Consider the following 24,695-nt stretch of genomic DNA (forward strand, 5'->3'; position numbering starts at 1 on the left):
TAACCATTTTTACATCCTGTGACTAACAGGTGTTACCTAAGTAGGACTCTTAAAATTAAATATATAAATATCTTGCTGATAATTTAGAAGCTACAGCTGTTTTCATTAAACTAATAATATTACATTAATGTTACTCTTCAAAGAATTGCACAAAGAAAGATTATTCTATTTTAGGCTGAGTTTGTAGTTTTATAACCTTTGGATCAAACCCTGACATCTTAAAGCCTTGGAAACACCTTAGAGACAAAGATAAAACGGTCTGACCTCTAAATCCAGGCAAAAATGTATGCTGACAATTTTTTTTTTTTTTTCTTGAGATGGAGTCTTGCTCTGTCACCCAGGCTAGAGTGCAATGGAGTGATTTCAGCTCACTGCAACCTCCACCTCCCGGGTTCAAGCGATTCTCCTGCCTCAGCCTCCCAAGTAGCTGGGATTACAGGTGCCTGGCACCACACCCAGCTAATTTTTGTATTTTTAGTAGAGACGGGGTTTCACCACCTTGGCCAGGCTGGTCTCGAACTCCTGACCTCGTGATCCAGCTGCCTTGGCCTCCCAAAGTGCTGGGATTACAGGCATGAGCCACTGCACCTGGCCATATGCTGATACTTTTTAAGACATTTCTATTTTTATTTTACCAATAATTTTTAAATCAACTCAAAAATTACTTCAATTAAATGCACTAAAATAAATTTCAGTTAATTAGTATATAGTTGATATGAGCATTTAAGCCAATCTGAATAGAATTTATTAAATGGTTTCCGATGGATGACACCACATTTCCTCAACATGTTATCATACTTTGGCTCTAGAATCTGACTTCTTGGAGTCAAGTCTTAGCTCTACCTCTTAAGAGGTGTGTGACCTTGGGCAGTTATACTGTCATTATAAGCCACTTATCCATCCTGGCGGGGAACAGGCTCTCTCTCACCTCTGCCCCATGCACGTGCTATGGTTGTACCTGGAGCAGCACCCTGTCCCCTCCCTCATCTCACACTCACTTGTCCTTCAGGCCTCTGTTTGGACCCTATCTCTGCTAGGAACCCATCTGGATCCTCCAAGACAAGGCCAGTTGCCTTTCCTCTGTGCTCCAACAAACACTCAGGTTGTGTCCTCTCACAGCTCTCCCTGGCTGCAAAATATGTCCATTTAAAATGATTCATCAATTACAAATGGTGCCAGGACTTTCACGGTGTGAATGAAGCAAGGCGCTGACCTTTCAAAGCACCCATTCTAGTCTGTTGTAATCAGCTACTCCAAGGTCTGCTTTCCCTCTAAACTTTGTTCTTAGTGGCTGGAGGTACAAGGCTCGGGGTCGTCTGCCTCCCTGGGATACAGCACTGAGGCTAGTACAGAGCAGGAGCATCACTGTTGAATGAAGGAAGCTTGGTCTGAACCATTTCCTGGGACCCCTCACTCTATTGGCACATTCTACCTGTAAGCAATGTAGGAGACGATCTAAGAGAAACTGAGACCCAGAAAGGCAAAGTGACTTGCTCAAGGCCAGGCAGCAAAGTATTGACCCAGCTCGAACAGGAACACAGGGTACCTAGATTGAATAGTGGTTTCCCAAAAGAGAACCTCAATATCCAATCTTATTTGGAAGAAGGGTCTTTGCAGATATAATTAAAATGAAGATTTCAAGGTGAGATTTTCCTGGCTTAGAGCTTAGAGGGGCCCCTAAATCAAATGATAAGTGTGCATAGAAGAGACAGAAAAGAAGACACACATAGAGAAGATGGTGCTGTGAGGGTGGGGCAAAGACGGGAAGGATGCCTCTTGAATCCAAGGGACACCAAGGATTGCAGGCAGCCCCCAGAAGGTGAGCGAGACCTCATAGCCACCAGAGGGAACCAAGCCTGCCCACACATCGATTTCAGACGTTAGCCTCCAGAACTGTGAGACAAAGCATGCCTGTTGTTTGCAGCCCCCAGTTTGTGTGAATTTGTTACCGCAGCCCTAGGAAGTGAAGGCAAGCCTCTCCCAGCTCCTGGGAGTGTCCATCCCTGCCGCAACACACTCCAGCCTCAGGCAGCAGCAAGCTTGTCAGATCAGGAAGACAATTTATTTTCCTCTAAAAGATAGTGACTGTAGGAGATAGCCAAATGTTTATAAATGTGTTAAAACCACATTATCAGCACATCAACTGCAGAACTGTTCTGCGAATGCATCCATGACGGAGCAGGCTCAACAGGCCCCGCTAAACCAAGTGGGAAATCCTGTGTGGGAGGGCAGATGGACCCCAGAAAGTGAGTTTCAGATGCCCTCGCTATTCCAACTTACTAACCATCAGAGCAGAAGACAAAATCTACATTGTCTCATACACTCATCAAACCAGCATCTTTCACAGAAAATCTCAAACTACTTTTACTCTAAGGGGAAAAACTGGCAACTTCTCATGTAGAATATGGCACATCCTGACGTAGAGGAAAAAATGTTATAAAATGCAAAAGGGAAGGTAAATACAGTTTGTGTCTGATACAGGGATAGTAAAGTTATCAATTCATTTTATTTAATCCACACACAAACCATGTGGAGCAGGGATTATAATGCCCAAAGCTCTGTGCCTATTCATAGCTCTGTGACTGCTCCAAAAAATATCTGCTGAATGAACTCCCATTTTACAGATGGGGAAAGCAAAGTTTAGAGCAGTTAGATGGCTACACCCAGGTCTATTGTCAAAGCACCTCTGACTTCTAGGTCAGACAGCCAGAACGTAATCCCATCTCTGCCACTTCATGGAGGGTGGTTCTGGGCGAGTTGGCTTGTTGTGCTGAGTATCAGTTTTCCCATCTGCACACGAGAACAATAGCATCTGCCTACAGGATTGTTTTAGGATTAAATGCAGTGACTTGTGTTAGAGCCCCCAACACTGTCCTGACACAGAGAAGGGTCTCAGTGGGGAGATTGTTAGTCCTTGGTACAACCATAATTTGAACCCAGGTTGGTCTGAGGCAGTGTTGGGCCTGTCTAGCACAGATTAGCCACATGTGCCTAAAGCCCCAGATATGTGGGCCCAGCCTACCTGGCTGCCTCCTAAGGGCTTGCTCTTCCCCACTCGCATTTTCCATTGCATTGGAAACGAGACTGCCGCTTCTCTATTTGGGGCTTCTGATGCCCTTAAATCAACAAGAAGAAAAAGAGGTTACTGTGCTGATTACAGTGATTGAGCCAAATTACCAAAGGGAAATTTGTTGGTTGCTATACAATTTGGGGGAAAGAAGGCTTTGCCTAGAACTTAGGGGATTCTCTGGGGGCCCTTCTAATTTCCTCTGTGTCCCAGAATAAAGGTTCCTGAAAACTACAGCATCCAAGAAAGGACCATTAAGGACACAGACTCTTTTTTTTTTTTTTTTTTTTTTTTTTTTTGAGACAGTCTCACTCTGTCACCCAGGCTGAAGTGCAGTGGTACAATCTTGGCTCACTGCAACCTTCCCCTCCTGGGTTCAAGCCATTCTTTTGCTTCAGCCTCCTGAGTAGCTGGGACTATAGTTGTATGCCATGACACCAGGCTAATTTTTGTACTTTTAGTAGAGACGAGGTGTGACCATGTTAGCAAGGCTGGTCTCAAACTCCTGGCTTCAAGTGATCCGCCAGCTTCGGCCTCCCAAAGTGCTGGGATTACAGGTGCAAGTGACTGAGCCTGGTGAGGACACAAACTCTTAAGGAATGACCACTTGGGTTACTCTGTCAGATAAAGAACCCGCCCAACTGAGGTTCTAGTTGAGGGCAAAGAAAATATGGAAAGGGTAGTGGAAGAAGGAAGTCACAAATACTATCTATGTGCTTGCGAGCAGTTTCTACAAAGAGGACGGTTGTAGCTTTGCATATTTTCTCTTTGCACATGTTATGTGTACATATGTATGTGTATCAATTAACTATATCCTTTCTCTCTTACTATTTTATATTCAAGCTGTTGGAGGAGAACCTCAATTTAGCCTTTAGGTACTGTGCAGAATTTAAGGAGTAATGAATATTGTCAGCAATTGAAACAACAGTGGCCAGGACTCTGTCTCTTCATTTTGGTGAAAGAGTGAGAATTTTTCCACTTGTACAAAAGATAGCTGCATTGTCTTAATTGGAAACATGAGTTGTTATCTGTGTGGCCTTGAGGTGTTTGTGTGGAAGGTGAAGTATGTAGAGGGCGCATTTGGAAGTCAGGTAGCCAAAGGGATGGGCTGTGCCAGGGATCAAAATATTGTCTCTCAGCTCCAAATTCTCCCTTTTTGCTTTGTATATTGATACTGGAGCTGGACCCTGTAAGCATTTCTCCTTCAGCACAATATTATTCTTTCTCAACATATGGCACTTGGGGCAGGGGGAATGCTATGCTGTAGCAAAGGAAGGGGCTCCTCTTCCTGGTTATGTTGTTATCTCTCCACCTTCTATAAGGCTGTCAGCAGTATGTGAGATGATCAGTGGTGTCCACCCAATATTTCTGCCACCCCAGTGGACCACTTCCTATAAACCACCTCTGGTGTCCTACACCCTCTAGTAAGTGTCTCATCCAACTGGCTGGCTGGTCCTACTGACCACCTCTGAACTGCACCTTCCATCACGTTCTGAAGCCACTGGCATGCTACATGTTCCTGTGGAGCAACAACCTCTCCAATGGGACACAAACCTCAGCCTTGGTGGTGGTGATGGGGGCCTCCTCTGAGTTCTTAGTTCTTTCTTTCCTTGTTCTCTCTCCCTCAGCATAGAGGTAGTAGCTGTTTTGTGCATTTGCTATTCCTGTATTCCAGAGGGTCCTCCTTGACTCCTGTTGGTCGTTAACCATCTTTTGCAAGTTAATCATTCTTTACACTAAATTTTCCCTGTTCCGGTTACTGGTGGGGTTTCTGTCTTCTGACTCGACCCTGGCTAATTCATAGGGTGATTCAGGCAAGCAATGGGGGAATGACAGTGGCAGGACAGATTTTGATCTTGGACAGACTGAGGCCACTTATTCAGTCCACACAGTTTATGGGGGCATCTCCTTGGTGCCCCCACTGTCCTGGGATTTGGGACCCAGGGGTGAACCAGGACAATAGTATCCCTGCTGCTGTGGAGCTCACAGTACAGCTGAGTGTAGGGCCTGCTTCTCTGTTGATTATCTGTGTGGCCTTGAGGTGACACTTCATCTCTGGAGAGTTTGAGTGTCCTCGTCTGAAAAATGTGAACAATAAGAGTAATAGAGTTGTGAGAAATTAAATGAAAAAAAGCCTACCTAGATGCCCTTCAAATTACAATGAGGTTACATCCCAAAAACCCATTGTAAATTGAAAATATTCTAAGTTGAAAATGCATTTAATACACCTAACCTACCGAATGTCATAGCTTAGCCTCACCTGCCTTAAACGTGCCCAGAATGCTTTCGTTAGCCTACAGGTGGACAAAATCAACTAACACAAAGTCTATTTTATTATAATAAAGTGTTGAATATCTCATGTAATTTATTGAATACTGTACTAAAAATAAATGACAAAATAGTTATATGGGTACTTGAAGTGTGAGTTTTACTGAATGTGTATCATCGTGACATCATGAAATCACAAACCATAAATGGAACCATTATAAGTCAGGAAACATCTGTAAATGGACAGAAAACTGGTCCAGAGTGATTAAGGTCACCCTTAGTAAATTTGTGGCAGACTCGGTTTTAGAATTCAAATATTCTAACGCCCAGCCAAGCACCCTTTCCACCACTGGTGTCTGTAGGTTTGGACTCTGGCTCTGCCCCCGCAGACTGTCCTGGCATGGGTGGAAGGAGAGGGCTGCAGTGGACTTGACCCTGCCTGAGTCAGGCGGAGCTGTTTCCTGAGTATGACCAGAGTGGGGGGCGCTGATGCTGTTGCCACTGGGAGCCATTAAACAGGTGCCAGTTAGACCACAGGGGCCCCTTCTCTCCCAGCTGCCTGGGTTGCTGGCTGTGCAGCATTTCATCTTAGAGATGCTGAGAGCATCCCCAATTGGGAGAGTTCAGTGGGGGTGGACCTTTGGATGCCGGCTGTGGTAGCAGCCCCTCCCCCTCCCTCTTTCCCACAGTCTTTTTCTCCCACCCCTACTCCTCCTATGTCCATCATTTTCTCTTGGTCCTCTCACTGCTATTCCTGGCCCCTTTCTCTCCTTCCTCATTTTCACCTTCTCTATCTCCTTCTCTCCTCTCTTCTTCCCTCTTCCTCCTCTCCCTGTCCTTCCCCCTTCTTCCCCTTCTTCACTCCTTCCTCATTTTCACCTTCTCTATCTCCTTCTCTCCTCTCTTCTTCCCTCTTCCTCCTCTCCCTGTCCTTCCACCTTCTTCCCCTTCTTCACTCCTTCTTTTCCATCACTTCTTCTCCTCCTCCTCCCACCCTCTTTTCTCTTCTCTAGTTCTCCTCCTGTCTTTTCCTTCTTCCCTTTCTCCCACCTCCATCTTCTTTCCTTTAGTCCATCTTTCCTCTCTTTCCTCTTTCTGTTTCCTCCAGGGAGTCCCTCTGGCCACTCTGGAGAGATGACCCTTATCTCCAGCCTGCAGACCTCTCAAGTTGCACTGAGGCTCTTTGCTAAAAACTTCTGCCACTGGGCTTGCTGCCAGAAAAAAATGACACTCCATCTCTCCCTTCTAATTAGCTACTGCCTTCGGCTGTTTGGATGGGGCCTGTGCAACACACTTTGTTTCTGAACAGAACAACTCAACTTAAGGTCATCCATCAGTCCAGCAAGGCAGAGTCTATCTCAGCAGCACACTCAGCTCTGCACCCTGGCATCTGCTGCTTCCTGGAGAAGGACCACCAGCCTTGGGCTTCTCCTGCAGAGGGTGGATGTGTCCTCAAGTTACAGAGCAGTTGACAGAGGGGGAATGCTGAGCCTCTTGAAGTTGGCCCCAGCCTGCCTGCCCTGGCCTGGACACAGTGCTGTGGTTATGTAGAGTGGGCACGGGCTTCGGTCTGCAGATCTGGGTTCAAATTATGCCTTTATTACATCCTTGACCAACATCTTTGAGCCTCACTTCCCTTGCCTGTAAAATGGGGGAAAAATTACCTGGCTTAGGGGGCAATTGTGAGGATAAAAAGAGATGATATATGAAAAGCACCTTGTGCCATCTGTGGCATCTGGTAAGAGCTCAACAAATGGTACTTTCTTATTCTTCCTCCCCATCATCTAAACTTTCAATGCAAACTATATTCAAACCAAAGGAATGTGCTCACCATGCATGTATTTTCTGGCTGAAATGTCTTGATCTTTCTTCTCAGAACTCTTAGTCATGCTTCAAAACCCATCCCCAAATGTCACAGCTCCCGTAAGACTTTCTCCGACCACTTAAACCCTCCCCTTCTCTGGTGGAATTAGTCTCCCCTTCATACTGCTGCCATCTTACTCAAGGTTCTTTGGTGTCAAGAGCCGGCTCCAATGCATAGGTATTTAATAATGTTTGCTGCTACTTCTGATGGAAACAGAACACAAGTGGACCTCATGGGTACCAAGCGTGGGAAGCCAAAGGAATTGAGACAGTGTCTCTCTCCTTCTTCCCCTCTCCCTTGTGGTCATATAGAGCCTTGTCTCTGCTTCTCACAACAGATTTTCTATGTCATTGTGCATATGGTTGAAAATGGTGGCCACAGTCCCACTACACATACCCTTTTGGTATGGCTAAAATGAAATGCAGCTGTAGAGATGCCCAGAGGTCCACTCCTGGGCCAGCCAGTGTGGCCAAAGGGGGAGCACCACATAACCAGTAAGCAATGGCAACACCGTCAACAAAGGGTGTGTAGGAGCAGTGCTCAGAGAAGGGGCGGGCCCATGCTCCATCACGCCCGCCAGACTTCCCCGGGAGCTCTGAGCATGCTGCTTTCACAGCCTCAGCATGTAGCATGAGGCTCAGGTTCACTGTCTGTCTGTCTGCTTTTCTCACCAGAGAGTGAGCTCCTCTTTAATGCTCCAGCTTGTTCCACAAGCTGGGACAGAGCAGATGTCAACACTGCGTGGAATGACTGCAGGAAAGGAGTGATGATGATTAAAAAGCAAGGGTTGTTCTCCATGATGCTGCCCTCTCTATTAGAATATTGCTACAAACTCCTTATATCTATATTTCCATTATCTGAAGATAATTATCACTCCTGCTTCATCTAAGTCTATATCCACTCACCCCCCCATCCATCCACCCCCTATTTATTCATCCATTCATCCATTCCTTTTCCATTTTTCTTCTCACATATTTCCACAATTTTTCTCTCCTCCAACCCTCTAACCATTTATTCACCCATTTACCCAACCATCCATCCATCTCACCCATCCCATCTATCCATTCATTCATCTGTTACATCCATCCATCCATCCATCCATCTATCCATTCACCCACCCACCCATCCATCATGTTTCCTTGGCTTTTGTCCCATCTATGTATGCCTGAAAAAATCGAAGTCTCCAGCAAAGCATCCTCGGCTTCTCTGGAGAATATTTCACATGCTTCCTGACAGGACTGGTCAACTTTCCAATGAGCTATCCAGTAGAATCTACCATTTACTTCCGGTTTTCCTACCCACCAGTACTGAAACATACACACAGGCACACACCCCCCTCTGCCAGCGATCACTGCTTCTACTGGTTGCTGCAAGTTTGCCAAGCTCCTGCTGGACACCACAGCAGCCTCTTTGTCCCCTATCCCTGCACTGAAGCCCCTGAGGAAGCTTCATAGCATTCCATGGCAATGTGGGGTCCCAAAGAAATTATAATTTGTGGTTGTAGTTGTTTTGTGGAAATTATTTTGCAGGTGACAGATATCAGGACAAAAGGCAGGGATGGGGTGGATTGAGGAACAGAGACATCTTGAGGGTCTGGGGTATAGTAGGCACAAAATAAACGTCAGTTGCATGAAGTCATGAATGAGTGGGGAGCTTAGGTCATTCTACACACCAGAAATAGATGTACCTGTACTGCAGGCTAAATTCATCCACATTGGCATCTCCTGGAGGGCATTGTCCTGCCCTTGCTTTCTTCCCACCTGCGGAGAGACAGGGAGGGGTGGGTGTCTATTTTTATACCTCAGAAGCTGCAGAGGAGCAGAAGAGCAGTCTGCCAGCAGCCAGCACCTAGGCAGTCAGGCAGCTGATTGGGGCAGAGGGGATAATGGAGGCTGCCACCTCTGTCTCCGACACTGCCCAGAAAATGTCTGTTAGCAGAATGGTGATGGCATCCTCAGCTGCCGTCACTCAACCCAGAGATCAAATTTACAGAGGACACAGCACAATATAAGCCACCACCAGTCCCATATGCATATATACGCACACAAACATAAGTAGCCCAGCCACAGAAATCCCTATAATTAGTTAATTCTCCACTTAGGAGACAAAGCTTGAAATTGCCAGAGATGTTCTTTCCCAGCCTCCTTTAGAGCTTGGGTGAAGTCACATGACGAGGCTTCTCCAATCAGATCGCCCCACCTCCCAGTATAGACTTTGGGCCAGAAGTCCAGTGGGAAGTGGTTTTCCTTGCTGAGCCTATTCTGGCAATGGAGCTGATGATGGCAGCTGAGGCTGGCACATGTCCAACTACAGTCCATGGGAAACAAGATGGCAGGGGTTCACCTGTAGCCTGCAGGGTCAGTGGTGGTAGTGAAGGTGGTGCAAGCTGTTGGGGGCAGAACTTGGTAGAGGAGGTCAAGATGCTGTTGCCTGTGGGTTGATTTGGGGCATCTGTGCTGATGCCACAACCCCTGAGCCTGGCTCTCTAGCCCTCCCAGTGATTCTGTACCTCTCTGTGTCTCTGCTCATCTAGAAAATAGTGGTGACAGCAGCACCTACTTTCCAGGATTGCTAGAAGGCTTATTACAGGTGTTCATATAATAATGTCCTGTCTCAAACCCATGTTGTATGACTCGATACCCTGCAAGGTGGCCCTTCAGGAATGTGTCTGTCATTCCCATTGGTGGCCCACGGAGCACTCCAGTATTATTGCTCTTCCAGTTTCTGAGCCCTCTGAACATACTCCACACTATGCCTTTCACTGGCCCAAGTCCTCTTGTCCCTTGAGGCCACTCCTGTCCACCAGCGTCACACCATTCCCACAGTGTCTGTCCTGCCCTAGTCTGTCACCTGTACCATCACAGGCCTCTTAACTGATTGATTTGCTGCCAGAGCCTCCTCCTGCAACATTTTACCTTCCCACACTTTTGCAGCCCTGAGCACGTCGTCCTGCTGAAACTGGAATGGGCCTGTAGGATAACGAGCAAACCCTGCACCCGGCATTCAAGGCCCCTCCTGCTCTGACCCCTGTGGCTTCTGGCCTCCTGTACTGCTTCCCCTCCCAGACACCAACACCGCAGTCTCCCTTGAACCTGCCCTTCAGCCGTTGGTGTCCTTCCCCATCTCTGCCTGGTGAATTTTGTTCATGCTCTAGGATTCAGCTCAGAGGTGACCCTCAGAGCTGACCTTGACCTCCATCCCACAACCCCATAGCATAGGGTGTCCACTGTTCTTAACAACAACCTTTACCTGTGATGGTCCATGGAGTCCCCATGTGTAAGCCCCTGAGAGCAGAGCTGGACCGTTCTCTTCTGAATACCCTCATAGCCTCCCAGCTAGGGGTCCGCAGAGAAAGACCCAACCCCCAACTCCACTTCAGGTGTGGAATCTCAAAGGCATCACAGACTGGACGTGCACAGGTCCAGACTCATGAGCTCCATGCTCCCCAGAAATGAGCCTTCTCTGGGTCCCTTCTTCCCATGTCTGGTGCCACCATCCATACAGTCACCCCAGCCAGGAGACTTCTTTCCATCTCTGAGCTGATCTTTCTTTCTGGAACATTTTCCTCCCTTTGATACCTCCTCTGCTGTCTCACCCAACCTCACATTCAGTCCTGCCCATGCACTCCTCATGTCTCGGAATCTGTCCTGTCCTCTCCATTACTGGTACCTCTGGTCTGGCCACTGCCTTGGCCCCCACCTGGCCCTGCCCTCCCCACCTGCTGTCTACCCCTGCCAATTTCCCACAGCAGCCAGAGGGACAGTGTGGAAACACCACCCTGCCACTCTGCCCCTGCTCCCAGTACAATCCAGAAGCCTTAGTGTGACCTGGACACCCTGGGGCACCTGCTTCCCCACACCCTCCCTCCCCACTCACGCCTGCCTTCTGCTTTCCAGCCATAGCAGCCACTTCTCAGCCAAGAAGGTGTCAGGGGTTCCTCTGCCACAGGGGCACTGCAGATCTAGAATTTTCTTTCTCACCCCTGCAGATAGTAAATGTCTAATTACTGCAGATTTTGGTTGACCTGTCATCTTCCTGGGGAGGACTCCTGCCCCAGGGCTAGGCCCAGATCCTTTGCAATAGGCACCCCTAGGTCCCACCTTTCCTCTTCGGAGTTGATCTCTGTTTGTGATTTGAATTCAGCTCTGGGATTCTTTAATCAATGGCCTCCCCCTCCTCCACTAGACTCTAAGGTCCCTGAGGACCAGGTCTGCATCTAGTTTTCTTCACCATCGAATTCTCAGTTCCCTGAGCAGGGCCTGGCATGCAGCAGGTGCTCACTAAACACCTGCTTACTGGATGCATAAAGGCGAGCTACTGTTTAGTAGGCACCTACTGTGTGCCAGCCCCTGTGCCAAGCACTTAACTGAATCAACTAATCCAACTCCCTCAAATCCCAAACTGATCCTCATTGTAGGGATGAGAAACCAAGGCTCAGTGAGGTAAGTGACTGTCCCTGACTCCCACAGCCAGCTGGTGGCAGAGCTATCTCAAACCCATGTACCTCTGGGCCTTACCACCTCACTCCAGTGCCACTAGAATACAACCCCTGTCTTACCCCCACTGTCAGTCTGCCTCACGCTTCTCCACTCAGGCACTTGCCTCCACCATCAGATGATGAGCTCCTGAGGGTGGACACCCTAAATCATATTCCTATATCCCCCAAACCCAGGGCCTAAGGACACCCTCCCTACCAGATCAATAACGAACAAAGGAAAAGGGAAGCTGTGTGCAGCCTCGAATCCTGGTTTGTTAATACTCAGTGCAGCTCAGTGGCTGCCCAGGGATATTGGCTGCATGAAGGTCTGTAGGAGGAAGCAAGTGTAAGCAAAGAGCTCCCACGGGCTCGGTGTCCACGTTTCTAGTGGGCTGACTGGAGCCCCCGCCAGGTGAGCCGGGCTCTGGGCTGCTGTCTATGCCAGCAAGGCTGCCCAGAGGTCTCCACTCCCAATACACTGCTGCAGAGTTGCCACATGCCTTCATCTAAATGGCTCTAAAGACTCAGCAAAGGGCAGTGGAGACACAACAGCTACGCTGTCAAATTACACAGTTAGCTCTTTAATGAGGAGCCGAGGGAGCATCTCCTTGGACTGTGGGCCTGGGACCCAAATCACAGTGATTATGAATTACTAATCTCCTTCAAAGGCTCTCGAGTTCTTACCATACGTAGCCACGACAGATCAGAGCCTCTCAGTGCCTTTTGACAGATTCCCTCTAAATCAATAGATGTGCAGCTGTCGGGAGGAAAACAAATCAGGGTGAGCTGGGGCTATGGGGACGGCTGGGTGCATGGAAACCAATCCATCAGGAGGCCTACATGGATGAGGCCATCCATTCATTCTGATCAATAAACACCCTGGACTGGACAGTATTTTTGCTGCCCTCGGAGCCATGTGTGATCATCAAACCCAGATAGAGGAGTAGAAACAGCCTTTGTTTGCTTTTAAAAGGGTCACAGGATGGGCACCAGGAGGCAGGTGTTTCAGAACCGACTGCCAGCCAGTAATTCCCCAGGACTGATCCCTGACAGGCCTGGGTTTGAATAGGACTCTGCCATCTCCAGACAGAATGGCCTTGGGTGAGCCTCAGTTTCCACACCTGAATTGCTGGGAATGAAGCTGGAGGGGCCCGGGTGAGAGCTGGGCCTCACAGGGCTTTGACAGCAGAGCTCAAGGTTTGGGTCTTTGCTTTAGGAAAAGTGGGAGCCTCTGAGGGGCTTTAAACAGAGGGAGGACAGGAGTGTTTTGCATTTCAAACAAATTGCTTAAGACCTTTATCTCAGCCCTTCTGTGGGTTGTGGGGACAAAATGGTAAAATGCTGCTTAAAAGCTTAGACCAGTGATGACTCAGAGCAGCTTCCAGGAACTGACAGCAAATGTTTTGGGTGGAGATGGGTGGAGTGAGAAGTAGGTCAGAGGCTCCAGACAGATGTCCGCAGCTAGGCTCATCAGAGCAGCAATCCCTCCCATTATAGCAGTGACCACACCCATCAGAGCAGCAGCCCCTCCCACTATAGCAGTGACCACACCCATCAGAGCAGCAGCCCCTCCCACTATAGCAGTGACCACGCCCATCAGAGCAGCACCCCTCCCATTATAGCAGTGACCACACCCATCAGAGCAGCAGCCCCTCCCATTATAGCAGTGGCCATGCCCACCAGAGGAGCAGCCCCTCCCATTATAGCAGTGGCCACACCCAGCAGAATAAGTGCCCATCACAGCAGCAGCCCCTCTTGCCCTCCTGAGTGAGGAGCTGAGCACTTCACACAGGTATCCTCACTGCCTTTTTTTTTTTTTTTTTTTTTTTGAGATGGAGTCTTGCTCTGTCTCCTAGGCTGGAGTGCAGTGGCCCAATCTTAGCTTACTACAGCCTGGGGCTCAAGCAATTCTCCCGCCTCAGCCTCCCGAGTAGCTGGGATTACAGGCACCCGCCACCACACCCAGCTAATTTTTGTGTTTTTAGTAGAGACAGTGTTTCACCACGTTGGCAATGCTGGTCTCAATCTCCTGACCTCAAGTAATCCACCCACCTCGGCCTCCCAAAGTGCTGGGATTCCATGCGTGAGCCACCGCGCTGGCCCCTCTCACGGCACTCAGTGAGGTGGGTGTTATTACCACCTTGTGTTACAGAAGGAGAAACTGAGGCTCCAAGAGGTTACTGGCTTATCAATTAGACCATGGAATCCTAGAGTGGGAAGGACCTTAGGGACATGCCCTCCAGGAAGACTCCCATCTCACAGAAGGGGAAACTGAGTCATGGGGCAGGGCGGTGGCTTGTCTATAGTAAACTGTTCATTACACTTGAGGGTCAAACAATCATCAGGGGCTGAGGATACAGAAATGAATCAGACAGAGCTCTTACCCTGAAGAACTTCCCAGTTCTTGGAGAGGAGGGTATTGGTGGGGGTTCCAATATAAATTATGTTTTGCCATTTACCATGAAATGGACAAGCAGGGAAGTGTGTGGAAGGTGCAGACACAATGCAAAGGAATCAGGAATGAAGTCCATGCAGTCTGGGACCACCAGGGTCGGCTTCTGGAAGGATGAGACAGTGCCAGAAAGGAAGTCACATCCCCTGTCTGCCTTCCCAGGGCCCTTTCTGCTTCTCCACAGCCACCTCTTAAATAGTGATGGTGGTAGTGCAGGATGTATAAAGACATTTTATGTGACAAGTTACCAAACTCCAGTTCAAAAGGCACCTGAGCACAGATGCCCAGAATGAGTCACTGCAGCCCTGTTTATAACTGAGAAAATCAGAAACAAATGAGTATCCATGGACAGGCAGTGGTTAAGGAACAGATGGAGCATCTGTATCATGAAATCTGGGCACCTGGTCTAAGGAACACTGCAGCAAGATTGAGGGTGAAGAGAGGGAAAGGAAACGTGATAAACTCATTGGTGCTTTTGTCCTGGGTGAAGAGACTGGGTTTGCCTGCGAGGCTGAAAGAGGGGGGCAACTCCCTGTCCCTGTCCTCTGCTGGGCCCCCCTCTTCCCCATGACCATCTTCCTCTCTTTCCCCTGGGTCCTGAGCTTTGCCACACAGATGTTACAGGGACACACCTGTCAGCCTTCTCCCAGCTGCACCTGAGGCAATGCCATTCATTTATTCATTCATTCATCCATTCACTCCCATTCACTCATTTATTGAGCACCTGCTATGTGCCAGACAACATGCTGAACCCAAGGGAGCATGTGCAAAGGCCCTGGGGCAAGAGGCAGCAAAGCAAGGACAAAGAACAGGAAAACAGCCAGAGGGGCTGGGCCCAGACAGGAAGTGAGCGGGCAGTGCCAGATGGGGCTGGGCAGAGACGGGCAGGAGTGCAGGCTTCATGGAGGACTGTGGTGCTTATCTCTAGAGTAATCAGCAGCCACAGGAGAGTTCTAGCCAGGTAGACCTCAATAGATCACATGGGAACTGATTTACCCAAGTCCCAAAAATGCCTGCCCTCAAGTTCAGTCTTGCCCTGGAAACCCCAAGGGACACAGCAGGGATCAAGGCTAACTGAGCCCCCAGGACCCAGGGCCCAGTCATTCTGGGTGTATGTGGAGGTGACAGTGATGCATGAATATAATCATTAAATAGGAACTATGTCAGGTGACGTGTACCATGAAGGAAAATGAAACAGTGTAAGAGGGACAGAGAGTTATGGGGGTTGCTGTGTTAGATGCAGGTGTCACGAAAGTCCCCTGGCAAAGCAGAGGCCATGCATGACATGAGAAATTGTTAGCAGCCGAAAGTATCCAAGTCACAGGTCTGCAAAGTATGTCAGCAGCGGTACGAATCCATATCTCTATCGGTCTGCAGCAATCTCAATCCTTGCCTCCTCAGAAGATAGAATTCGACCCAGGGGCATAAGGCAGGAGAGACCGAGGCAAGTTTTAGAGCAGGAGTGAAAGTTTACTAAAAAGCTTTAGAGTAGAAAGGAAAGGAAGGAAAGTAAGTACACTTGGAAGTTCACAGCTGGAACTTCTTCCATGACAGCAGCCTTGGAGGGGCCAGGGGAGCAGAGGGGACAGCGACATGCCAGGCACCACACCAGGGGCTTTGCATTAAACGTTTGATTTATTTTTCATAATAACATTTGCTCAGTGGTTATTAGAATCCACCTTTAGTATCTTGGGAAACTGACATTCAGAGCAGTAAAGCCACCTGCCCAAGGTCACAGCCAGTGTGTGGCTGAGCTGGGATTCAGCCCCAGGCGAGTCTCACTCAGAAAGCCGTGCTCCAGTGCTAGGGACATGGCTTTGGGTAACTGTACAGGTCTGCAGCAACCTCAATTCTTGCCTCCTCAGCAAAAAGAATTCAATTCAGAGGCATAGGCAGAAGGAGAGACTGAGGCAAGTTTTAGAGCAGGAGTGAAAGTTTACTAAAAAGCTTTAGAGTGGGAAGGAGAGAAAGTATACTTGGAAGAAGGCCAAGGGGGTGACTTGAAAGACACAGGCACCATTTGACCTTTTGGCTTGGGGTTTCCTGTGTTGGCATACGTCCGGGGTCTTGCATCACTTTTCCCAACTCCTAAGATCTTATTGGGAAGCTGCTGAGCTGATCACTAGTTTCAGGTGTTTTCTATTAGAAGTCAGCCTTTCCCTGGTGCCGGCTGTGACCAATTATTACTTTAGAGAGACAGTTAACAACTGCCTGACCATCACCTGATGGTCGCCCAACACTCCTGGTGTGTGTCTGGGGTGGGGAGGGGGGAACCCTCTCCTGCCCTGTTCATACCTGCCTAGCTACCCACTGCAACAAAATGAGAAATGGGCCATGCAGGTGGGTGGGACATTCCAGGCAGAGGGAACAGCAGATGCAGAGGCCCAAGGCAGGAACGTGCCTGTTAGGCAGCCAGGAGGCCCATGCAGCAGGAGGGGAAGCCTTGGAAGGACCAGGGCGTTTACTCTGAGTGCCATGAGGAGCCTTTGGGGAGCTTTGAGCAGAGCAAGGACACATCCTGACAGGTTTTCCAAGGATGTCACTGGCTGCTGAGTGGAGAGCAGTTTGCAGGGGTGACAGCGGGGGTTTGCAGGGAATGGGTAGGGGGCCCAGAGGCCAACACCATAGTCCAGGCAAGAGTGGAGGCTGACCTCGGTTCATCCTGCGCCTCCTGTTTTGTAACCTCCTTTTTCCACCTGACCATGCCTCAGGGACATCCTCTAGGTCAACACACAAAACTCCTCCCCATCCTTTCTAGCAGCAGCCCACACCACACCATATGAAGGCCTCTTTCTTTCACCGCTTCCTCTCCATGGACACTTTATGTGTTTTGGATTTTCTCAATTATTAACAGCTGCAGGGACTGATCCTGGGCACCTGTGCTCAGACGCCCTCCAGCTGCATTTGGTTTACTTAATACAGTAACCACACAGCGTCCTGACCCACCCAGGGGAGCTTCTGTTCACTCCTGGAGAATTCCTTGCTTTGCCCCCTTCCTCCTTCTCTTCTCACATCACCCTAGACCTGAAGGGCTTTGTTCAGCTGTGTGCTGTATCCTGGGACAGCACCTGGCCCAGGGTGGATAAAAAGGCCTGTTGGTGAAGCTCGGAGTCCTGGTGTCTCCCGGGCAGCCGTGTCCCTAGTACTGGAGTATGGGCTTCTTTCTGAGTGAGACTCGCCTGGGGCTGAATCCCAGCTCAGCCACACACTGGCCGTGACCTTGGGCAGGTGGCTTTACTGCTCTGAATGTCAGTTTCCCAGAATACTAGAGGTGGATTTTAATAACCACTAAGCAAATGTTAATGTGAAAAATAAACATTTAATGCAAAGCCCCTGGTGTGGTGCCTGGCATGTCGCTGTCCCCTCTGCGCCCGTTGCCCCTCCAAGGCTGCTGTCAAGGAAGAAGTTCTAGCTGTGAGCATCTTTCCAGCACCATCGAGATGTAATTGAAACATGGAGCGGATGATGCTGGGCAGTCAGTTGCATGAGACCCTGCTTCCCACTGGGGCCTTGTCTGTGCAGGGTGTGATGGGAGCCTCTCGCTGGTTTACGGCCAGGCTGTCCGTACTCTGGCTCCCAGCACCCCGTGTCTCCCGAGGTCTCTGAAGGAAAAAGACCTGGGCTGGAGGGCTGGGTCCCTGACCCACTCAGGACCCGGGTGCCAGGGAGGGGGAACACGTCAGCCTCAGATGTGTGGGAGTGGGGGGACCTGGCTGGGAGGGAGGAGGACTCTGTTCTCCAGTTGCACAGGGAACTGGATTCCTGACCCACGGCAGCAGATAAAATATAGGTGTTCTTGTAAGCTGCCAAGTGTTGGATGCCTTGTTTCTCATAGAAGACTAATATAAGGAGAGTGTATGGGGCAGAGCCCTGCCTGCCTCCTTCTTGAGGGAGGGCAGAGTTCACTGGAAATAAAAAAAAAAAAAACAATGCCAGCCCCAGCACACCTGCAGAACTGGACCACCATCGTCATCAACCAGCCCCTTCCCCACACCTGGCACTTATTTAACCTATTCACCAGCACAACACCAGGGCCAAGGGGAGATTAGCAAGCATCTGAGATGCGCCCCATCCACCCTTCTGCCCTGGCCCTGGCCCAGATGGGCACTCTCCTCCCACCCCCAGGCCTGCCCCATGCTGTTGCCAGTTGCTCTTCTCAGGCACACTCTGACCTTGCCATCCCCCTGCTTAGAAACAGTCAAGGGCTCCACATTTCCCACTGAAGGAAGCCAGTATGCTTAACAGGTGAGGCTGCCTGTGATCCAACCTGAACACAGCCTGTGGGGAGAGGGGCCAGTGGTTAAGACCCAAACTCTGGAGCCAGGACACCACAGTCCACCTCCTGGCTCTGCCACCTGCTGAGTTAGTCACATACCCTCTCTGAGCCTCAGTTTTCTCTTCTATACAATGAGGATTGTTCTCCCTCATGGAGTCTGCTTCACAGAGTTGGTGTGCAAATGAATGAGTCAAAGCATGTAAAATGCTTAGGATGTCCAGCGCCTGGTAAGCTCTCTATGTGTGCCCATTCTTGTGATCTGTTAGGTTGGTATTTGGAGGTAGTTTATGCATGTTATCCTTCTGGGATCAGCCCTTCCTCCCACCCCTGCCTACCCCGCCTCTTGGACTGACCTCTCAGAGGAACCAGTGCATTTCCTTCCAAGCTCAGCCGGAAGAGCTGGGTTTTCCATCACCTGCAACCACACAGGCCAAGCCTGCCCCCTGCGCATCTTCATCCTTTCCTGCTCCCTACGCGTCTTCATCCTTTCCTGCTCCTGGACCTGAGCCCTCTGCTCCAGCCCTACCGACTGGCCCCTCCCAGACACCACCAGTACGTTCCCACCCCTATGTCTTCACTCTTGTGGTTCCCTCTTCCTAAATACCGATCTCCATCTCCTTAACTCTTATTCTCCCAAAATGCTGCATGTCCTTCAATGCACCAGCATCCATGAACCTTGAAAGCAGAGCACAGAGGAAAGAGACGGGCTTTCATCCCTGCTCCACCCCTTACCCACTGAGTGGGCACAGACTCCTTGTTTAACCTCCCAAACCTCAGTTTACTCATCCAGCATGTGCAGGCGATAAAAACAGTCCTACAGGGGTCCGGGGTGGATTGAGTGCAGTAGTTCACAACAAAGGCCTGGTGCACAGTGGGTGCCTAATAATTGCTGGCTGACGCAGTCAGTGCTAGAGTGACTTATGCCAGCTTTGCCCCCAGCACTTCACCTCCAGAAGGGCAGGTAGGAACCCCAGGGAAACCTTACCCAGCAGCCTCGCTTTGGGAAAAAGAAATAGAAAATATTCTAATTCCAAAGAGTAAATGTCAGAGGCGTGGGAAGGAGTCAGAGGTTCTGAAAATAAACACAGTCACTGAAAGGAGGGAGGGAGAGAAAGGAGGGGGCTGAGGTGGAGGACTGGAGTGAGAGGCAGAGAGGAGATGCCAAGTATGGGAAAGGCAGACAGAAGGAGGGAGACAGAGAGAGCCAGAGACAGAAGGGATGAGGGAGAGAAACGGAGACAGAGGGGAGGGAGAGAGACAGAGCCAGAGACAGATGGGAGGAGGGAGAGAGACAAAACCAGAGACAGAAAGAAGGAGGGAAAGAAACAGAGCCAGAGACAGAGGGGATGAGGGAGAGAGACAGAGACAGAGGGGAGGAGAGAGAGAGACAGGGGAGGAGAGAGAGACAGAGGGGAGGAGAGAGAGAGACAGAGGGGAGGAAAGAGAGAGACAGAGGGGAGGAGGGAGAGAGAGAGAGCCAGAGACAGAGGGGAGGAGGAAGAGAGACAGAGATACAGAGACAGAGGGGAGGGGGGGAGAGAGGGGGACAGAGAGACGAAAGACAGAGACAGAAGGGAGGAGAGAGAGAGACAGAGGGGATGAGAGAGACAGGGGGAGGAGGGAGAGAGACAGAGACAGATAGCCAGAGACAGAGGGAAGGAGGGAGAGAAATAGAGCCAGAGACAGAAGGGAGGAGGGAGAGAAAGACAGAGGGGAGGAGGGAGAGAGCCAGAGACAGAGGGGAGAAGGGAGGGAGAGAGAGATGGAGACAGAGAGACACAGAGATGAAAAGGGGGAGAGGGGACAGGGAGAGAGACACAGAGATCTTTTCATTCTGGACCAGTCTTCACTTAAGTCGCACTCCCCCTCAACAAAAGTGGCCTCACCTGTAAAATGCAGATGTTAGACTAAGTCAGAGGTGGCAAACTGATGGCTGCAGAATGTATCCACCTGTGCATATGTTTGTTTTTTTCTGCGTATTTTTTTTCAAAATTGGGTGGACTTCCAAAGTTTACAAATGGGGATATTTTGCCTAGAAATTCAGACCTCTGTCTCTTGGCAGCATCAGGAGGCTGGCCTCTTAGGGCTTGCACTCTGGCCTGGGCAGTTGGCTGAGTGAGGCAGCTTTTGCCCACTGCAGGAGGGCATGCATGCTCCAGGTAGCCACAGTCCTGCCACACCTGACCACCCCTCAGCTTGGAGGCTGAGCAACAGATTCTTTCATGTCATGCTTGCTCTGTTTTGTATTTACACTGGAACACCTCCTGCCCTCTAAAAGATTCCCGGCGATGCCTGGACCAGAGGATCTATCTCTAAGACCCACCTGCTCATCCTGAGAGTTTATGACTCTCAGCTCAAATATCAGCTCCTGGGAGAGGCCTTCTTGAGATAACACAGCCCTCTCGCCCTCAACCTCATGCTTCATCCCATTGCTCGTCAATCAGAGACAGAACAAACTAGGAAAGAGTGAGTGGCTGGGCCAGCTCCAGTTTCCCATCTGAGAAATGACCTGAGGTTGGGCAGGGGTGGGGAGAGGAGGTTTGTACTAGATGGTTGTAAGCAGAACCACTCCAGACCCAAGTCCAGTCTATTTCTGGGAGGGGGAGGGTCCAGGGCTCTCCCTGATGCAAGTGGAGTTGGGACCCTTTTAGAGTAGACCACCCTAGGGGTCCGTACCTGGAACAGGTGAAATGGGATCCAGGGGGTTCTTTAGGGCAGCTTCTAAGGGACGACCAGAACAAAGGAGCCCCATCCAGTGTTGACTGAAGGTCCTTAGGATCAGGGCCTCCTGCCACAGCAGGAGGATAGCTCAGCTGGAAGTCCCCTCCCCACCCCAGAAAAACATGCCCTGGAAGCCTGGGAGGAACCAGGAGCCCCACTGACCACTGATTTGCTGAGTGACCCTGGGGAAGTCACTTATGAATGCACACCTCCATTTCCTTCCCTGCCTGCAGGAGCCATAACCTAACCCCTCTCCCCAGCCCCCCAGAATCTGAAAGGTAAAAGGCCATAGGGTAGTCCACAGCCCTGAGCAGGGGAAGAAGACAACACGGGGATTTATCAACACTGCAAACGCCTGGGTGGCGGACAGAGGACCCCATTCCACAGGCATCAGTTACCATGTTAAGCACGCTGCCCTGTGGGAGGCCCTAGGGACCCAGTGCTCACCTCCAACATCGAGAAGCAGAGGCATCTTCCTCTATGTCGTGATTCAGGGCCCACGGATGCAGGCAGCCCCTTCCCACCTCTCAGGAGCCATGGGTCCACGTACCAGACAAATTGAGCAGCTCTGTGGTGGTTGTTTCCTGGTGAATTAAAGGATGTTAGAGGGAGAAAGAGGCTCATATTGCAGGGCTTATTGCGTACCAGGCTCTCTGCCTGCTATATGGGCAGAATACTTACTTCTCACAGCAAAAACATGTATACCCCCATTTTGCAAATGAGGAAACTGAGGCTCAGGTTGAATAAGGTCACATAGCTGGTAAATGGCCTCAGGCTTAGTCCAACAGCCCTTAGAAATCCCTGCCTTGGTGTCTCCACCCAGACCTCACCTGGTCTTGGCTCCCATACCTGTGGGCCAATGGCAGCTCCCAGGACAGGCAGATCTCACATCTCCAAAGTTGAAATCTGTCCCCTGTGAGTTTCCTCTGAGATCCCAGCTCTGCGTCTGGAGTCTTCACACACCATGTGGGATCACCCACCTAACAGCCTCAGGCATCAGCAGCCACAACAGCACCACCAACAGTAACAGCTAACCTTTGTGGAATGCTCATTACTTGCCAGACAATTCATTTTTGTGTATGGGACAAGATATGGATCAATTTTTAGAAGTATGTATATCCAGTTTTTGTTTCAGCACCATTTATTGAAAAGATGATTCTTTATCCACTGAATTGCCTTTACATTTTTGTCAAAAATAAGTTGTCCTTAATGGGTGGATTTATTTCTGCATTCTCCATTTTGTTCCATTGATCACTTTGTCTATCTTGATGCCAGTACCACATTCTCTGAATTATTGTAGCATTATCCTATGTCTTGAAGTCCGGTAATATTCATTCACCAACTTTGATCTTTTCAACAGCTGTGTTGGCTATTCTTTACATTTTGATATGAATTTTAGAATCAACTTGCCAATTACTGCAAAACACTTCTGGGATTAGATTGAGATTATTTTGAATCTATAAGTCAATTTATGAAGAATTAACATCTTAATAATAATGGGTCTTCCAACGCATGAACACTGTGTCTCTCTATCTACTTAAGTAATTTTAAATTTCTCTCAAAATTTTTTTTTACAATTTTCAGTGTATATATCTTATACTTCTTTTGTCAGATTTATCACTAATGAATTTATATTCCTTATGCTATTGCAAATGGTATTGACTTTCTATTGCAATTTCCAATTATCCATTCCCAATATGTAGAGATGCAGTTGATTTTTGTGTATTGATTATATGGCCTGAAAACTTGCTAAACTCATTTTTCAGTTAAAGGTATCGTTTTTTAAAAATAGATTCTATATCTGTGAATAATGACAGGTTTACTTTTTTCTTTAATCCTTTAATTAAATCTGGATGCCCTTAATTTCTTTTTCTTGCTTTGTTGCATTGGCTACAACCTCCACTACATTGTCAAATAGGAGTGGTGACTCTGGGTTTTACCTTGTTCCTGATCTCAAGGCAAAAAGGCTTCAGTCTTTCATCAGTAAGTATGATGTTAGTGGCTGATATATGTAGGTGTCCTTTATCAAGATGAAAGAGTTCACTTCTATTCCTACTGTGCTGAGAGCTTTTATCACAAATGGGTCTTGAATTTTGTGAAATAGTTGTACTACATCTAGTGCAATGATCATCTGGTTTTACAATATTATGAATTACATTGATTGATTTTTTAATATTAAATCAGCTTTGCATTCTAAGAAAAATTCCACTTGGCCATGATGCATTTTCTTTTCCTTTTTTCTTTTTCTTTTTTTTTTTTTCTGAGACAGAGTTTTGCTCTTGTTGCCCACCCAGGCTGGAGAGTGCAATGGTGCAATCTTGGCTTACTGCAACCTCTGCCTTCTGGGTTCCAGTGATTTTCCTGCCTCAGCTTCCCAAGTACCTGGGATTACAAGCATGTGCCACCATGCCCAGCTAATTTTGTACTTTTAGTAGAGACGGGTTTTCTCCATGTTGGTCAGGCTGGTCTTGAACTCCCAACCTCAAGTGATCCACCCGCCTCAGCCTCCCAAACTGCTGGGATTACAGGTGTGAGCCACCAGGCCCAGCCACCATGATGCATTTTCTATCTTATATATTGTTGGATTTGATTTTCTGAATTTTGTTTAAAAACCTTAAACCTATGTTTATGAGGAATACTGTTCTGTAGTTTTCTTTTCTAGTAAAGTCCACATGGTTTTGATATCAGGATGTCTTAGTCTGTTTTGTGCTGCTATAGCAATATACCTGAGACTGTATAATTTATATAAAACAGAAATTTATTTCCCACAGTCCTAGAGACTAGGAAGTTCAAGGTCAAGTCACCACTAGGTTAGGGCACAGTCTTTCTGGTTCCATGATGGTGCCTTGAACACTGCATCTTCCAGAGGGGAGACATGCTGTATCCTCACATGTCAGAAGGCAGAAGTACAAAAGATGTGAACTCTCTCCTTCGAGCCCTTTTATAATGGCATTAATCCAACCATGAAGGCAGAGCTCTCATGATGTAAACACCTCCCAAAAGCGCACACCTCCCAAACTGTTGCATTGGGGATTAGGTTTCAATACGAAATTAAGAAAGAATGAAAGCATTCAAACCATAGCACAGGGAAATGCTGGACTCACAGAATGAATTAGCAAGTAGTCCCTCCTCTTCAATTGTATGGAAAACTTTGTGTAGATTTGATATTCTTTCATCCTTAAATGTTTTGTAGAATTCTGCAGAGAAGCCATCTAGGTCTTGAGTTTTCTAGAGGGAAGGCTTTGTTTTGTTTTGTTTTTGTTTTTGAGGCAAAGTCTTGCCCTGTCACATAGACTAGATGCAGTGGTATGATCATAGCTCACTGCAGCCTCAAACTTCTGGGCTCAAGCGATCCTCCCACCTCAGCCTCCTGAGTAGCTGAGACTATAGTCATGCACCACCATGCCTAATTTTTTACTTTTTCTAGAGATGCGGGTGTCACTATGTTGCTGTTGCCCAGGCTGGGCTTGAACTCCTGAATTCAAGCAGTCCTCCCGCCTCGGCCTCCCAAAGTGCTGGGATTACAGGTGTGAGCCACTGCACCTAGCTGTTCATGGGAGATTTTTAACA

General features: G+C 48.7%; 1 long non-coding RNA gene across 3 annotated transcripts in view, besides 2 other annotated features; it reads right to left on the minus strand.

Moving 5' to 3' along the window:
* The window catches only part of LOC105378617 (uncharacterized), a 36,983-nt gene extending 15,280 nt beyond the window's left edge, over positions 1 to 21,703 (minus strand). The window contains exons 1-3 of one of the 3 annotated variants that reach the window (XR_001737959.1): positions 21,573 to 21,703; positions 8,887 to 8,959; positions 631 to 3,116 (exon numbers count right to left, since the gene is read on the minus strand). This is a non-coding gene — a long non-coding RNA (uncharacterized LOC105378617). Of the gene's footprint in view, positions 1 to 630; positions 3,117 to 6,394; positions 6,977 to 8,886; positions 8,960 to 21,572 lie in introns of those variants that run through there. The other 2 variants (XR_947128.2, XR_001737960.1) reach the window with 2 other exon arrangements.
* Positions 12,084 to 12,614: an enhancer, noted in NCBI's record as "H3K4me1 hESC enhancer chr1:30663183-30663713 (GRCh37/hg19 assembly coordinates)". NCBI's record gives its function as "activates a minimal SCP1, AML or CMV promoter by ChIP-STARR-seq in primed H9 embryonic stem cells {active_cell/tissue: H9 hESC(primed)}" and the evidence as "EXISTENCE:reporter gene assay evidence [ECO:0000049][PMID:30033119]".
* Positions 16,121 to 16,621: an enhancer, noted in NCBI's record as "H3K4me1 hESC enhancer chr1:30667220-30667720 (GRCh37/hg19 assembly coordinates)". NCBI's record gives its function as "activates a minimal SCP1, AML or CMV promoter by ChIP-STARR-seq in naive H9 embryonic stem cells {active_cell/tissue: H9 hESC(naive)}" and the evidence as "EXISTENCE:reporter gene assay evidence [ECO:0000049][PMID:30033119]".
* Positions 21,704 to 24,695: the final 2,992 nt, after the last annotated feature.

Source organism: Homo sapiens, chromosome 1 (assembly GCF_000001405.40).
Source record: "Homo sapiens chromosome 1, GRCh38.p14 Primary Assembly".
Classification (NCBI taxonomy): Eukaryota; Metazoa; Chordata; class Mammalia; order Primates; family Hominidae; genus Homo; species Homo sapiens.